Source organism: Homo sapiens, chromosome 1, assembly GCF_000001405.40.
Source record: "Homo sapiens chromosome 1, GRCh38.p14 Primary Assembly".
NCBI classification, from domain to species: Eukaryota; Metazoa; Chordata; class Mammalia; order Primates; family Hominidae; genus Homo; species Homo sapiens.
In genome coordinates this window covers 12,697,716-12,714,235 of record NC_000001.11, presented here as the reverse complement: position 1 = coordinate 12,714,235, position 16,520 = coordinate 12,697,716, and the positions used below count along the sequence as shown (strand labels likewise).

The following is a 16,520-nucleotide window of genomic DNA, read 5'->3' as shown; positions in this document are numbered from 1 at the left end:
TTATTTTAGTAGAGATGGGTTTTCACCATGTTGGCCAAGCTGGTCACGAACTCCTGACCTCAGGTGATCCACCCGCTTTGGCCTCCCAAAGTGCTGGGTGTCACGCGTGTCTGTGTAAAGAGACCACCAAACAGACTTTGTGTGAGCAACAAGGCTGTTTATTTCACCTGGGTGCAGGCAGTCTGAGTCCGAAAAGAGAGTCAGCGAAGAGAGATGGGGTGGAGTTGTTTTATAGGATTTGGGTGAGTAGTGGAAAATTACAGTCAAAGGGGGTTTTTCTCTTACGGGCAGGGGCGGGGGTCACAAGGTGCTCAGTGGGGGAGGTTCTGAGCCAGGAGAAGGTTTCACAAGGTTAATGGCTCAGTTAAGGTGGGGCAGGAACAAATCACAATGGTGGAATGTCATCAGTTAAGGCAGGAAGCAGCCATTTTCACTTCTTTTGTGATTCTTCACTTGCTTCAGGCCATCTGGATGTATACATGCAGGTTTGGGCTCAGAGGCCTGACATTCCTGTCTTCTTATATTAATAAGAAAAATAAAACAAAATAGTGTTGAAGTGTTGGGGCAGTGAAAAATTTTCGGGGTACTATGGAGAGATAATGGGTGATGTTTCTCAGGGCTGCTTCGAGGGGGATTAGGGGCAGCATGGGAACTTAGAGTGGGAGAGATTAAGCTGACAGAAGATTTTGTGGTAAAGGGCAATATTGTGGGGTTGTTAAAGGGAGCATTTGTCATATAGAATGATTGGTGATGGCCTGGATATGGTCAGGAAAGGTAAAACGGACTAATGGTCTTTTCCCAAAAACTCACCAACCAAGCAAGTAATTATGCTCAACCCTCTTGGGCACTCTCTAATTGGATGTCCTGGGTCCTCCCAATTCTTAGTCCTTTAATACTTATTTTTCTCCTTCTTTTATTTGGACCTTGTATCTTCTGTTAAGCTTCTCAATTTATACGTCCAGGATTACATTTCCCTCCAGGAGCGGTCTCTGCTTCTGTCTCAGGAGGAGGCGCACCCTGCCCCCTTGTGAGGGCCTCAGGGGTGAAAAATCAGGACCCACCCCATGTGAGAAATAACCCGAGCTCTCAGCAATGTGGAAAGAAACTGGCCAGCAACCTGGGGTAAAGGATCCTCCATAATGGCCACTAAAGTCTGCACATGGACCGAGGAAAAGACACTGCAGGAGCTGGTAAAGTATTTCCTTGTTGGTTGGGACCAAGGTAAGAATGTCGCGGGGGGGCGGTGAAGTACTCCTTTGTTGGGGTGGCTTAGAGGTTAAAAAGAGATGAGACATCTCCATTAGGGGGGATTGAACTTCACAAAAACCTCCAGTAGTAGAAAAGGCAAGAAATTTCCAATAAGGGAAATTGAGCCTCACCCCAAAAGACAAGAAATTTCCAGTAAGGGAAGTTGAACCTTACCCCAAAACCATCAATATGGGAAATACCCCAAGCAAGATAGGGAGCAAGAAGGATAAAGATAGTAGCAAAGATATCCCCCCAGAGAGCCCCCTAGGTCTCATGCTAAAATACTGGAAGGATAATGAAAGGACTAAACATAAGAAAAAGCAAAAAAACGATAAAATATTGATGTTTTATTTGGACTCAGGGACCCATCCTCAAACCCTCAATCTTCTGGCCAAAGTTTGGGTCAAATGAGGATGTAATGTGTCAGCTTCTAATCCAATATGTTAATTATAAAATTCAGTGTCTCAAGAAGAACTAGGCTATGCTCTTTGCTGGAGGGAAGGGCCTGCCCTCCTTTTTCCCTTAAAAACCCAATCTGGCACTCAAAATGAAAAGTCAGAGGAGCCAGCTCTCATGCCTAAAAATTCCAGTGCATGGAATCCCCTAGACTATTTCCCCTGCTCAGTATCCCCAATCCTTCCCCTCAGGCAGCTACTGCTGCCTCATATCCCATTCCAAATCCTTCCTCTACTCACGTTACCCCTCCTCCTTACTGACTCTTGGGAATTACCATCCCACCAGCCTGTTCCCTCCCAACCTAAATACTTTTACCCCTCTCTAAAAGGAATCCAGCATGAGGTAGAACAATGTAAAAAAAGATATTCAGAATTTCCCAATTCCCTCCATACCTAAGGGGTCAGTCCCAATTCTCTTCCATTTGAAAGAGGTACCACAAGGAGTAGGGGGCCATTGGCTTTGAAAATGTTCCCTTAACCAGTTCAGAAGTCCAGAATTTTAAAAAGGAGCTTAAACCACTACTAGATGACCCTTACAGAGTGACAGACCAAATTGACCAATTCTTAGGACCTCAGTTATACACTTGGGCCAAGTTAATGTTCATCTTGGGCACCCTCTTTTCAGGGGAAGAAAGGAGTATGATTCGTAGGACTGCTATGGTAGTTTGGGAATGTGAGCACCCTCCTGGTGAAAACATTCCTACTGCAGGCCAGAAATTCCCCACCCGAGACCCCCAGTGGGACAATAACAACGCAGATCACCAGGAAAATATGCAGGACCTAAGGGAGATAATAATAAAAGGAATTCAGGAATCAGTACCCCAAAGCCAAAATCTTTCTAAAACACTTGATATACAACAGGAAAAGGATGAAGGGCCTCTGAGATTCCTGGACAGATTAAGAGAGCAAATGAGGCAATATGCATGCCTCAATTTGGATGATCCCCTTAGGCAAGGAATGTTGAAACTCAAATTTGTCACTAAAAGTTGGCCAGACATTTCAAAAAAAGCTAAAAAAATAGACAATTGGGAAGACTGTCCCCTAAGTGAGCTTAGGGAAGCTCAGAAATTATATGTGAGAAGGGACAAAGAAAAACAGAAACAAAAGACAAAACTTATGTTATCCACCTTCCAACAGATGGCTCCAAATCCAGGTACTTCTAGACAGAGTTTCCAGGGAGCCAAAAACTATAAAGGGTCCAAACCCTCCTTTAAAAGACCCCAGTCTCCATCTGGAGGACCAAAGCCCTCATCTGCCAGGCCCCCTAAAGAGTTTGTGGGAGCAGGGTTAAAGAATCCCAGAACTAAGAGGGAGGAAGGGAAAGATAGGTGCTATAGATGTGGAAGAACAGGCCTTCAAGAGAGGATGTCCTGAATTAAGAAAGGAAAAAGAAGCCCTTCCACTCATGACTTTTGAGGAAGAATAGGGGAGTTAGGGGCTCTGTCTCTTTTTTCTTGAGTCCCACCAGGAGCCCTTGATAAATTTAGAGGTGGGACCCAAACATGAGCTTATCACCTTTTTAGTCGATTCAGGGGCCACTCGCTCCTCTGTTTGTTTCCCCCCATCTAATGTCTCCTCCTCAGAGGAACTTTAAGTCTCTGGGGTAAACGGGGAAGGATTTAGAGCAAAAATTTTAGAAGTTAGATACCAGGATCACTCAGCTCATATTCAGTTCTTATTAATCCCTGAAGCAGGAACTAAATTATTGGGAAGGGATTTAATGTTAAAGTTGAGCATAGGTCTACAAGTCAGTCCAAGAGGATTCCTCACCTCATTAAACCTACTCACCACTGCAAATGAAAAATATATTAATCCTAATGTGTGGTCCAAAGACGGGAACCAAGGGAAACTCTGAGTCCCTCCAATCCACATCAAGTTAAACCCCCGGAGAAGTAGTAAGAAGGAAGCAATACACTATTCCCTTGGAAGGTAGGATAGGGTTGAAGCCTATAATTCAAGGTCTTATTAAAGATGGGCTTCTTGAGCCCTGTATGTCCCCTTATAACACCCCAATACTGCCAGTCAAGAAATCAGACAGGTCATACCAACTAGTAAAGGACCTTAGAGCTATTAACAAAATAGTCCAGACTACCTACCCTGTTGTCCCCAATCCTTACACTATTCTCAGCAAGATTCCATATAATCATCAATGGTTTACTGTAATAGATTTGAAGGATGCTTTTTAGGCATGTCCCCTGGCTGAAGACAACCAAGTTATATTTGCTTTTGAGTGGGAGGATCCCCACTCAGGGTGGAAACAACAATATTGATGGACAGTCTTACCCAGAGGGTTCACAGACTCCCCTAATCTTTTCAGCCAAATTTTAGAACAAGTATTAGAAAAAATTTTCATCCCAGAACAAATATGCCTTCTCCAGTACGTGGACGATCTTCTTATATCTGGTGAAAATATAAGACTGACTTCTCTACACATATTCTTAACCATCTGCAGTTTGAGGGGCTATGAGTCTCAAAAAGAAAGCTTCAGTATGTAGAGCCTGAAGTTAAATATTTAGGCCACTTAATAAGTGCAGGCAAGCAAAGAATAGGGCCTGAATGAATCAAGGGAATCGTGTCCTTACCCTTGCCTCAAACTAAACAAGAACTCAGGAAATTTTTAGGATTAGTCAGATACTGCCACTTATGGACTGACTCATATGCACTGCACAGTAAATTGTTATATCAAAAACTTGCCCAGGAGAAGGCTAACCGTCTCCTGTGGAATTCTGAGGAAGTTGATCAAGTTGAGGAGCTGAAAGAAAAGCTCATAACTGCCCGTTTTAGCCTTACCCTCCCTAGAAAATCCATTCCACCTTTTTGTTAATGTGGACAGTGGGGTAGCTTTAGGAGTGCTGTCTCAAGAACATGGAGGCCGCCGGCAGCCCATGGCCTTCCTATCAAAGGTCTTAGACCCAGTCACTTGTGGATGGCCTCAATGCATCCAGTCCATCACGGCTACAGCAATATTAGTTGAGGAATGTAGAAAGTTAACCTTTGGAGGAAAACTGACAGTAAACATGCCTCACCAACTTAGAACTATCTTAAACAAGAGAGCAGGGAGATGGCTTACTGACTCAAGAATCTTAAAGTATGAGGCCATTCTGTTAGAAAAGAATGATTTCACATTAACCACTGATAATTGACTCATCCCAGCAGGTTTCCTAACAGAGAATCCAAATTTAAGGAGGGAACACACATGTCTAGATTTAATTGATTACCACACAAAGGTTCAACCAGACTTAGGAGAAACTCCCTTCCAGACTGGACAGCACTTATTGATAAATAGTTCCTCCTGAGTGATTGAGAGAAAAAGACACAATGGGTATTCAGTGATTGATGGAGAAATTCTTGCAGAAATAGTCAGGAAAATTGCCCAACTGTTGGTCTGCTCAAACGTGTGAGCTGTTTGCACTCAGCCAAGCCTTAGAGTACTTGCATAACCAGGAAGGAACCATCTATACAGATTCCAGGTATGCCTTTGGAGTGGCCCATATGTTTGGGAAAATTTGGACTGAATGAGGTCTCATTAATAGTAAAGGTCAAGACCTTGTTCACAAGGAGCTAATAGCCAAGTATTCAACAATCTTCAGTTGCTGGAAGAAATAGCTATTGTCCACGTTCCCAGACATCAGAAAAGACTTTCTTTTGAAAGTCAAGGAAATAACCTAGCAGATGAGGTAGCCAAACATGCTACTGTGTCTTCTGAAACACGTATTTTTCATTTAACTCCCTACCTCCCTCCTCCTACCGTAATCCCCATTTTCTCTTCCACTGAAAAAGAAAAACTAATAAAAATAGGCACTAAAGAGAATTCAGTAGGAAAATGGGTATTGCCAGACCAGAGAGAAACGCTGTCTAAATCCCTTATGAGGGAAATCTTATCCCAACTACATCAAGGGACCCATTGGGGGCCCCAGGCCTTGTGTGATGAAGTTATCAGAGTTTATGGTTATATAGGAATTTACACCCTGGCCAAACAGGTTACAGATAGTTGCTTAGTATGTAAGAAAACTAATAAACAAACTATAAAAAGATTACCTCTCAGGGGAAGGAATCCAGGCCTAAGGCCATTCCAAAGTATCCAAGTTGATTACACAGAAATGCCTCCAATAGGTTATCTAAAATATTTACTAGCAATAATAGACCACCTCACTCATTGAGTCGAAGCTATCCCCTTTTCAAATGTGACAGCCAATAATGTAGTTAAGGCCCTAATTGAAAATATAGTATCCAGGTTTGCACTAATATAAAATATTGACTCAGACACTGGAACTCATTTCACCACACACATTATTAAAAGGCTATCCCAAACATTAGACATTAGATGGGAATACCATACTCCCTGGCACCCACCCTCATCAGGGAGAGTATAAAGAATGAATCAGACTTTTTTTTTTTTTTGAGATGGAGTGTTGCTCTGTAGCCCAGGCTGGAGTGTAGTGGCACATTCTCAGGTCACTCCAAGCTCTGCCTCCTGGGTTCTTGCCATTCTCCTGCCTCAGCCTCCCAAGTAGCTGGGACTACAGGCGCCCACCACCATGCCTCGCTAATTTTTTGTATTTTTAGTAGAGACAGGTTTCACCATGTTAGCCAGGGTGATCTCGATCTCTTGACCTCGTGATCCACCCACCTCAGCCTCCCAAAGTGCTGGGATTGCAGGCATAAGCCACAGCACCAGGCCAAGAATGAATCAGACTTTAAAGGACCACTTAACCAAATTAGTCTTAGAGACTCAATTGCCATGGACCAAGTGTCTTCCTATCACCCTGCTGAGAATTCGAACTGCACCACTGAAAGATATTGGTCTTTCTCCTTATGAGATGCTCTACGGATTGCCTTATTTGAACTCTACTGCTGATATTCCTACCTTTGAAACAAAAGATCAATTTCTCAAAAATTATATACTTGGTCTATCTTCTACTTTCTCTTCTCTTAAAACTAAAGGTCTATTGGCACAGGCGCCACCCTTGGAGTTCCCAGTGCATCAACATCAGCCTGGGGATCACATCCTCATCAAAAGCTGGAAAGAGGAGAAGCTCGAGCCAGCCTGGGAAGGTCCCTACTTAGTGCTCCTAACTACTGAAACCATAGTCCACACGGCAGAGAGAGGATGGACTTATCACACCCAAGTCAAGAAAGTGCCACCCCCTCCAGACTGGTGGGCCATAGTCCCAGGGGAAAACCCTACCAAACTAAAGCTAAGAAGAATTTAACTCTCTTTCATCTATTCTATTACTCTTTCTTCTTCCTTCTCTCTATTGCTGACCATCTAGTTATTAACATAACCAAGTCAACTTTGCCTCAAACTACTGCATTCAATGCTTGCCTTGTTATACCCTGTGGGGACTTGCCAAGTCAAAGACAGCTCTCTACTTCAGAAAAGTACCTCTGTCCCTCCTGGCTCTCCTCAGACTGGGTATTAGTGAATTGGGACCATTTAATCCGGGGAGAATTTGATAAAGACCCCAGTGTCAACCAGGAATCTTGCCCCCAATGTGGAGCTTTTATGCTGTAGTTGGTCCAACGTTCTGTGGACCACTAAAGAGCAAGGATGGACTGCCCCTATGGGTTTTTGTAATTTCCTAAAACCATACATTCATTTTACTAAAGGGACGCCCCCCCTAACTGTCAGCTAAACCAGTGCAATCCCATAGAGGTTATGTCAAACCCTCAAAGCTTTTCCCCTTTTCTAAGCCTGTTCCCTTCTTTAAGCTGGTTTTATGGTATAGGGGCAGAGGTTTCAGGGACAGAGCATACTGGATTCTTTGAAATGCATTTTTTTGATCCCCCACTGCCTGCACCTTCCTCTAAACCTTCTTCCAAAACCTCTCACAATGGAACAAGTGCTCCTCCTCCATCTCACAACAAAACCAAGGTAGCTATCATAGAAATTAAAGACTTAAAACAAACTTTGGCAATTGAGACAGGACCAAGATGCAAATGCCTGGTTGGAAGGGATCAAATATTCCATCTGCACGTTAAACAAAAGCAACTGTTATCCTTGTGTGCATGGCAGGCCAGAGGGCCAGATTGTCCCCTGTCCACTAGGATGGTCCTCCAGTCGACTGGGCTTGGGCTGAATGGTAGCTCTTTTCCAGGATACTACAGCCTGGGGTAACAAGTTGTGCCAAGCTCTCTCTCTCTCTGCTATATCCTGAAGTTCAACACCCTGTGGGTCAGCCCCCAAGGGCAATCTAGCTTCCATCTCCCAACACTAAATTCACTTCGTGTATCTCATGACAGGGAGGAAATTTAGCGTTCCTTGGAGACCTGAAGGGTTGCAGTGAGCTTAAGAATTTTCAAGAGCTTACCAATCAGTCAGCCCTTGTTCATCCCCAAGTGGATGTGTGGTGGTATTGTGGTGGACCTTTACTGGACACTGTGCTGAGTAACTGGAGTGGCACTTGTGCTTTAGTCCAATTGGCTATCTATTGCAGGATCTGGCCAGCAGCCCGCAATGCAATGGGGCTCTTTCTTTGTTCCCAGGCAGGTCAGCAGTTCAAGAAATAATAGACACACAACATAGCGAAAGCTGGGTCCAAGGGGTCACCACCTTCTGGTCCTGCGGTGCCAACAATGCACTGGATATACCAGCATTTATTATCAAGTTTAGTGAGGGTGGGGGTAGGTTAGTGAGGGACTTAGGGTCATTTGATTATGAGGTGAGATAGTCACATGGGGATGAAGTAATTCTTCAACATAATATCTGTATGCAGAAGTACAGTATACAAGGTAAGAATTTACAATATAGTGTGTGCATCAGTAATTTCTAACATAGCCTTAAAACAGAAACAGTCTTTCCATAACCTATGATTAGCAAGATATTAATCAGCAGTAACAGTAGCAGCAAAAGCTGGTTACAAACAATTCATAGAAACAGGACGTGAAGCTAGACAACTGGTTAGACCAGAAATTCTCAGAAAGGAGTATGCCATAACCCTAAAGAGGCCTAGAAGAGCCATGGCAAGATGAGGGCATTTATAGCCCTATCTTATCCATATGGACAGGCACCCCTCATGCATCCATTTATAGGCTCTCCACAAGGGTCACATTCCATTCCCAGAGCTATGAACATCTGCTTTTCTGGGATAGGAATCTTGGTGATGTGAAACCTCCCTGACTGCACGTCCATTCATAGGCTCTCTTCAGGGGGAAGCACATCACGTGCTGTTGGCTCATTCTGGCAGTCCAACCTGGCATTGTCTTTACACAATCCTGAATGCAATTTTGTATTTACAATAATCAGGAGCATTTCATCTTTTATTCCATAGCAATAGTTTCAGGGGGTCTCCCTACAGCTATCCTTTCACCCTGGCATTTCACCAGCCAGAGGAAGGAAAAATAAGACACTGTAAAGCAAGAGAAACCACTTATGAGTATTTTGACTCTCACATCTATTTAGATGCAATTGGAGTCCCACGGGGAATACCAGATCAATTTAAAGCCCAAAATCAAATAGCTGCAGGATTTGAGTCAATATTTCGATGGGTGGCAATTAATAACAATGTAGATTGGATAAACTACACCTACTACAACTAACAGCGATTTATTAGCTACACTAGAGATGCTGTTAAAGGAATAGCTGAGCAATTAGGGGCCACTAGCCAGATGGCTTTGGAAAATAGGATAGCCCTAGACGTGATATTAGCAGAAAGCGGAGGAGTTTGCATCATGATTAAAACTCAATGTTGTACCTTCATCCCAAACAACACGGCCCCTGATGGAAGTATAACAAAGGCATTCCAAGGTCTGACTGCTCTGTCCAATGAGTTAGCCAACAACTCAGGGGTAAAAGACCCCTTTACATGATGGCTAGAAAAGTGGCTCAGTAAATGGAAAGGAATAACAGCCTCAATTCTTACTTACCTCACAGCCATAATGGTTGTATTAATTCTTGTCGAGTGGTGTGTCATACCATGCATCTGTGGATTGGTGCAGAGGCTCATAGATATGGCACTTACTAAAACCTCCCTTAACTATTCTCCACCTTATCCAGAGAAGCTTCTTCTTTTGGAAAATCAAGCAGAACAACTAAGCCAAGACATGTTAAAAAAGTTTGAAGAGAAAGAACTGTAAGGAAAATGCAAAAAGAAGGAATTATTAGATATGAGTTCTAAATTTCTCTTCAATGAATCAATATGTCAGTATGTTCAATTTTTTACCTTCTATTTTTAAACTTAACTTCCTCGTAAAGCAATCTTTTTAGATCACCTGCTCCACCCTGACTCATTCCGATTACCTGCTCTGCCCTGACTGATTCCAATTACCTCATTCATTCTGATTACCTGCTCCACCCTGACTCATTCATTTTTCCCGCCAAACCACTCACCCCATCACTCTCTTTAAATTAGCCAGTCAGAATTAGTTTAGCCTGCGTGGTCTAACCCTAGCCAATAAGGGGATGACACAGCAGCAGGGGCCACGTGCACCAGGGATAAGTACCCCTTCCCATCCCTTGTCCAAGTGTGTGCTCACCATTGCTCCATCTGTAAGGGTGCACCCTTCTATAGAAGTAAATTGCCTTGCTGAGAAGAAAAATTTTTATTCAAGTGCCATTTCTTTTGCAGTGCCAAAACTTTACATATAACATCTGCACCATTCTTGGAGGTGAGCTGTCCAGGAGAGGACCCAGCCAGAATCATCTGTGTGAGCTGTGGCAGGATCGAGCTCTGCAAGTTTGTTGTGTGAAGCTACTGAGGTGCAGAACTGTGGGTTAGGCAGAGGGCCTCTCCTGATTAATATTACTACAATGAAAGCAGGAAGGCTTTGAGGGACTTCTGCAACACACGAGTCTAAATTTAGTTTAATTCTGCATAATGATGGCTTATTCCTTTTTGCTTTTATCTTCTGAGTGCATGGCAGAAGACCATCTCCCAGTAATGCTGCTGATTCAGATCCTTGAGCTGTGTGTTCCCACCACTGAGAGGAGAGACAATACGGTGAAAAGAACACAGATGCCTGTGCTGCCTTTCCAAATTCTGCCCCCAAAGAAGCACTATGATGCTGGCAATTCACTCACCCTCTCTCAACGATTTCAGTTTCTCCATCTGTACAAGGAAGCTGAGATCCCTGCTTCAAGTGCGGTGCTGTGCCAATCTCTTCACATGTGTTAACACACTTCGTTCCACATCAACCCTTAGGGAGATCCTATTCTTGTGCCCATTTTATGGATAAGGAGACTGAGCTTCACAGATGTTAAGTAGTTTCCCCAAGGTCAGAAAACTCATAAGTGGAAGTCATAGGGGACCTCTTCTCCAAGAAAGGCCTTCTTGGGGCCTCTTATTTTGCACAGTGCCACCATTTCAATTGGCAAAGAAAACTCTCAGCGCTCAAAGGGCACACTATTGACCTACTTGCCATCCAGCCCCTATGGAAAGCTTGACTCAGCAGGGGCAAACCTGAGCAGGAGCTCCAGCTCATTGCACAGTAGACACCTGGGTCACAAATCTGGGTTAGGGCTAAGATTTTGCTTGATGACCAAAGAGTCATCTATCAGCTCTTCACACTTCCTGATTTTTAAAAATCTTTTTTCTTTACTTGCCCAAGTACTACGTGTTCAGTTTCATGTATCACTGTCCTTTTTTTTTTTTTCTGTGTGAATAAAACTGAAGTTTTGGGGTCCCTGACCTGTAGTATAAAGCTGTGTCAGGCATTTAAATCCTACTTTTGGAATTTTCATGATGTTTGTAATATGCTCAGCCTTTAAAAATGTGTAATTGGCTATGATTTCTTTTCATGTTCTAAGTATACATTCAGGCCGGGCACGGTGGCTCACACCTAAGCTCTCACTCAGACATACCCACTGCCCAAACCCTTTGGAAAGGCAAGGATAAAGGAGGCTGCCAATGGGGTCCATCCAGGTCGGCTTCCCAGGGCAAACAGCAGGTGGAGGGAGGACAGAGGGACAAAGGGACCCCAGGGGGCAGACGGACAATGTCCAGCACTCCAGCACTGGGATAGATTGGTCTCTAGCTCCTTGTCTCCTATTCCATTTCTGGATTAATGTTGAGAAGTACATAGAGGAAGGGAGGTGGGAGGCTGTATTCGTTTCCTTTTTTTTTTTTTTTTCTTTTTTGAGACAGAGTCTCACTCTATCACCCAGGCTGGAGTGCAGTGGTGTGATATCTGCTCACTGCAACCTCCACCTCCCAGATTCAAGTGATCCTCGTGCCTCAGCCTCCCACGTAGCTGGGACTACAGGCTACCATGCTTGGCTAATTTTTTTTTTTTTTTTTTTTTTTTAGTAGAGATGGGGTTTTGCCACATTGGCCAGGCTTGTCTCGAACTCCTGGTCTAAGTTATCCTCCTGCCTCAAGTTCCCAATATGCTGGGATTACAGGCATGAGCAACCACACCCAGTCTGTATTAGTTTCCTCTTGCTGCTGTAACACATTACCACAATCTTAGTGGCTTAAAATATATGTTCCTCCCATTCTGGAGGTCAGAAGTCTACAGTTAAGATGTCAGCCAGAGGCTGGGTGTGGTGGCTTATGCCTGTAATCCCAGTGCTTTGGGAGGCTGAGGCGGGTGGATCACTTGAGGTCCAGAGTTTGAGACCAGCCTGGCCAACATGGTAAGACCCAGTCTCTACTAAAAATACAAAAGTTAGCTGGACGTCATGGCACACACTTGTGGTCCCAGCTACTCGGGAGGCTGAGGCACGAGAATTGCTTGAGCCCAGGAAGCAGAGGTTGCCTTGAGCCAAGATAGCACCATTGCACTCCAGCCTGGGCCATGGAGTGAGACTCTGTCAAAAAAAAGAAAAAATGGTGTCAGCAGGGCTGGCTTTTCTGGAGGCTCATCCCGGCTTCCTTCCCTTTTCTTGCCTCTAGAAGGCACCCGCATTTCCTGACTCGTGATCCATTCCCCAAATCACTCGGCTCTCCTGCCTCCTTCTTAGAAGGACCTTTATGGCTTTTATGGCTACATCAAGCCCACGCACATCATCAAGGTCATCTCCCCCTCCCAAAATCTTTCATTTAATCACGTTTGCAAAGTCCCTTTGGCCATGTAAGGTCACATATTAACAGGTTGGGGGGAGTTGGACAGGAACATCCTTGCGGGGAGCATTATTCAGCCTACAGAGGTGGGGCGTGCCTAGCCCTTTCAAGCCCCTTTGGGTTTGAGAAATATGCATGTGAGATTTGCTTCTGCAGTTGCAATCAAGATGTCTGCAATAAGTTTTTACTACATCAGCTGCTGTCACCAACGTAACTCTCACCTGAAACTCTTTAGTTTTCAGGGCACCACCTGAAGACTCAGTAGCACTCTCTCCTCTCTAATGAGAATTCCATGCCTCTGGTGTGGCAGCTTAGTTGACCCTTCCAGGAGGCATACATTCTCCTCTTCTTTCATTCTGTTTTCCAACTTTCAATCATGTGCCCACTTGGGTGCAATTTTATTGCAAATGCTTTTTTTGCTTTCCAACTTTTAGGTTCGACAGGTATATGTGCAGGTAAGTTATGTGTCATGGGGTTTGGTGTATAGATAGTTTTGTCACCCAAGGTAATCAACATAATATCCTATAGGTAGTTTTTCAATCCTTACCCTCTCTTCCCACCCTTCACCCTCAAGTAGGCCCCAGAGTCTACTGTTCCCTTCTTCATGGCCATGTGTACTCAGTGTTTAGCTCCCATTTATAAGTGAAAATATGTGGTATTTGGTTTTCTGTTCCTGTGTTAATTTCCTTAGTATAAGGCCTCCAGCTGCATTCATGTTGCTACAAACACATGATTTCATTCTTTTTATGGCTTCATAGTATTCCATGCTGTATTTGTACCACATTTTCTTTACCCAGTTCACTGCTAGAGGGCATCTAGGTTGCTTCCACATCTTTGCCCCAGGTGGAGGTTATCTTCAGCTCAGGAGTTTGAGACCAGCCTGGGCAATGTGGCAAATCCCCGTCTCTACAAAAAATACAAAAATTAGCTGGGCGTGGTAGAACACACCTGTAGTTCCAGCTACTTGGGAGGCTGAGGTAGGAGGATCACCTGAGCCCAGGAAATCCAGGCTGCAGTGAGCCAAGGTGGTGCCACTGCACTCCAGCCTGAGTGACAGAGTGAGACCCGTCAAAGAAAAGAAAAGAAATAGAGTTGTTGAAATATTTTTTTCCATTTCTGAAACAGTAATATAAGTGCTTTTTTCAAAAAAGTGTTCAGTAATAAGTGGTTACTAGTGGTGGCTCAGTAACCACCATATCTTGAAGTAATGATGAGCATAAAAGGTGCTTTGTGATATCTGCCATAACTGAAATGTGATATGAAAATATCTTTGATTTCCACTGGTGATAAAGTCCACATACAGGCAATATTACTGTGGCTCATGGCCTACATTTATACAAGAAAGAAACTAAATTTCTATTAGAGGTTGATGAAAATAACAATGTGATTTCTTTTCCCCCCCAAGTTTACGTGCTCCTTAACTGTTATCCATTGAACCCAGGTTTGAAGACATAATAGTGTTGTTGAAATTCTCTGAACTACAAAATAAATTCTTCATGTTTCTCAAAGATGAGAGATCACATTAGTTTCATGTACTTGGCAAATGCAAGTTTTCCCACTAGACACTACAGAAATGACACCTACCCTCAGCTCCCCAAATGAAATACAAGTCCACTTCCTCCTGTATCCACAAGCTGTTTAGTAGCTTGACACGTTCAGGCTCTAGTAACCAATTCAGAATTCGAAAATCAATAAAATAAAACCATCTTGGAAAACACAATTACTGGGCTCTCTTTAGCTATTTCACATTGTAGAGTAGCTATATAAATCCAGAACAGATTAAATATCTTTAATGGCTTCCTCCCAATATTCTGAAATAGAACTGGATCAAGAAGAACTATAAATTCAGAGTCAACTGCACAAGATAATCAGAGTGTATAGGGAAGAAGGAAAAATAAGCTAATATTTAATGTGAATCTGCAATATATAAGGCTTTTTGCATAGATTATTTCACTTTATCCTCAAAAATAATCTGAAATTCAACATTCCTTTATGATAAAAAATTTTAACTGAGAATAGAAGGAATCTTCCTTAATCTGATACGTAGTGCCTACAGGAAGCATCATAGTTAGTGTTAAAATATTGGAAGCTTTTTCCAGAAATCTGGAATAAGACAGGGATGCCCACTATCACCACATCTATTTAACATTATACTAGAAGTCCTAGCCAGTACAATAAGACAAGAAAAAGGAATAAAAAGCTTAAGAACTGGAAATGAAGGAATAAAACTGTCACTATCCAGTGTGGACATGATTGCATATATAGAACACCCAAAAGAACCTACAGAAAAACTAGCAGAGTTAGTAAATGAATACAGGAAGGCTATTGAATATAAGATCAATATACAAAATTCAATTGTATTTTTATATTCCAATTTCAAACGAATAGATAATGAAAAATTTCAAAAGACACCAGAGATCTGTGACTTACAAGTGCTGGGAATGGAGGAAGTGGCTGACCTCAGAAGGGCAACATGAGGGAATTTTTTTAGATGATGGAGTTATTCTATACCTTGATCATAGTGGTGGTTATACAACTATATGCACTTTATCAAAACTTATACAGTTGCACACCAAAATTTTAAACTTTACTGTGTGTAAATGTAAAAAGTGAATTAAAATAATTAAAAAGATATTTATAATATCACTTCAAAACCTCAAATAGCTAGGAATTAATCTACTGAAAAATGTTTGAGATCTCTATATTGAAAACTATGAAACATTATTGAGGGAAATTAAAGAACACTAAAAGACATGCAGAATACTATTCTCATAGACTGGAAGACTTGATAGTGAAAAATATAAATTCTCCCCAATTTGATCTTTTAACTTAATTCATTCCCAATCAAAATTTTATCTGCTTTTTTTTTTTGCAGAAATTGACAAGTTTACTTAAAATATATGTGGAAATGCAAAGAACCAAGATTTACACTATCAGATGTTAAAATTATTGGAAGGCTACTATAATTAAACAGTACACTATCAGTGCAAGTGTAGCAAACCAGTGTAGCAGAAGAGGAATCCAGAAACTAATTCACACATACATGGCCACCTGATTTATGACAAAGATTGTACGCAGTGCAGGGCTGTCAAGGAAGCATGACATTTTCAATACTACACTATGCAAAAGAATAAATTTCAGATGGGTTGCAGATGAAAATGTAGCATATGAAACAATGATAAAGATTTCTTAAGGAAAACTAAAAGCACTAACCGTAAATGCCAGAGAGCAGGGGAGAGAAGGATAAACTGGACCATATTAAGATTGAGAACTTCTCTGTTCATCAAAAGATACCATGAAGGGCCGGGAACCATGGCTCACATTTATAATCTCAGTGCTTTGGGAGGTTGAGGCAAGAAGATCACTGGGGCCCAGGAGTTCAAGACCAGCCTGGGCAACAAAGTGAGATGCCATCTCTACAAATAATTTTTTAAAAAATTAAAAATTAGCTGGGCATGGTGGCACGGGCCTGTGTCCCAGCTACATGGGAGGCTGAGGCAGTAAGATCACTTGAGCCTGGGCGGTTAAGGCTGCAGTGAGTCATGATCACTGCATTTCAGCCTGGGCAACAGCACGAGACCCTGCCTCAAGAACAAAAACAACAACAAAAAAGTTAATTAAAAAAAGAAGATACCATGAAGAGAGGAAAAAGACAACCTGTAGAGTGGGAAGATATTTGCAATACAATACCTATTTCCAACAAGTGAAACACATTCAAAACATATAAAGAACTCCTACAAAGCAAAAAGACTGAAAATGTAATAGAAAAATGAGCAAATATTTGAAGAGGCCCTTTACAAAAGAGAATATGCAACAC

General features: G+C 42.5%; 1 long non-coding RNA gene across 1 annotated transcript, besides 1 other annotated feature; it reads left to right on the top strand.

Annotated features, from left to right (window-relative positions):
* Nucleotides 1-6,386: 6,386 nt before the first annotated feature.
* On the top strand, nt 6,387-11,342 carry LOC124903846 (uncharacterized). The gene is made up of 2 exons (XR_007065472.1): nt 6,387-6,861; nt 10,271-11,342. It is a non-coding gene; the product is annotated as an uncharacterized LOC124903846 (long non-coding RNA).
* Nucleotides 9,562-10,761: an enhancer, noted in NCBI's record as "BRD4-independent group 4 enhancer chr1:12763477-12764676 (GRCh37/hg19 assembly coordinates)". NCBI's record gives its function as "activates an origin of replication core promoter dependent on BRD2, P300/CBP, MED14 and CDK7 cofactors, and independent of BRD4, by STARR-seq in HCT116 cells {active_cell/tissue: HCT116}" and the evidence as "EXISTENCE:reporter gene assay evidence [ECO:0000049][PMID:35650434]".
* Nucleotides 11,343-16,520: the final 5,178 nt, after the last annotated feature.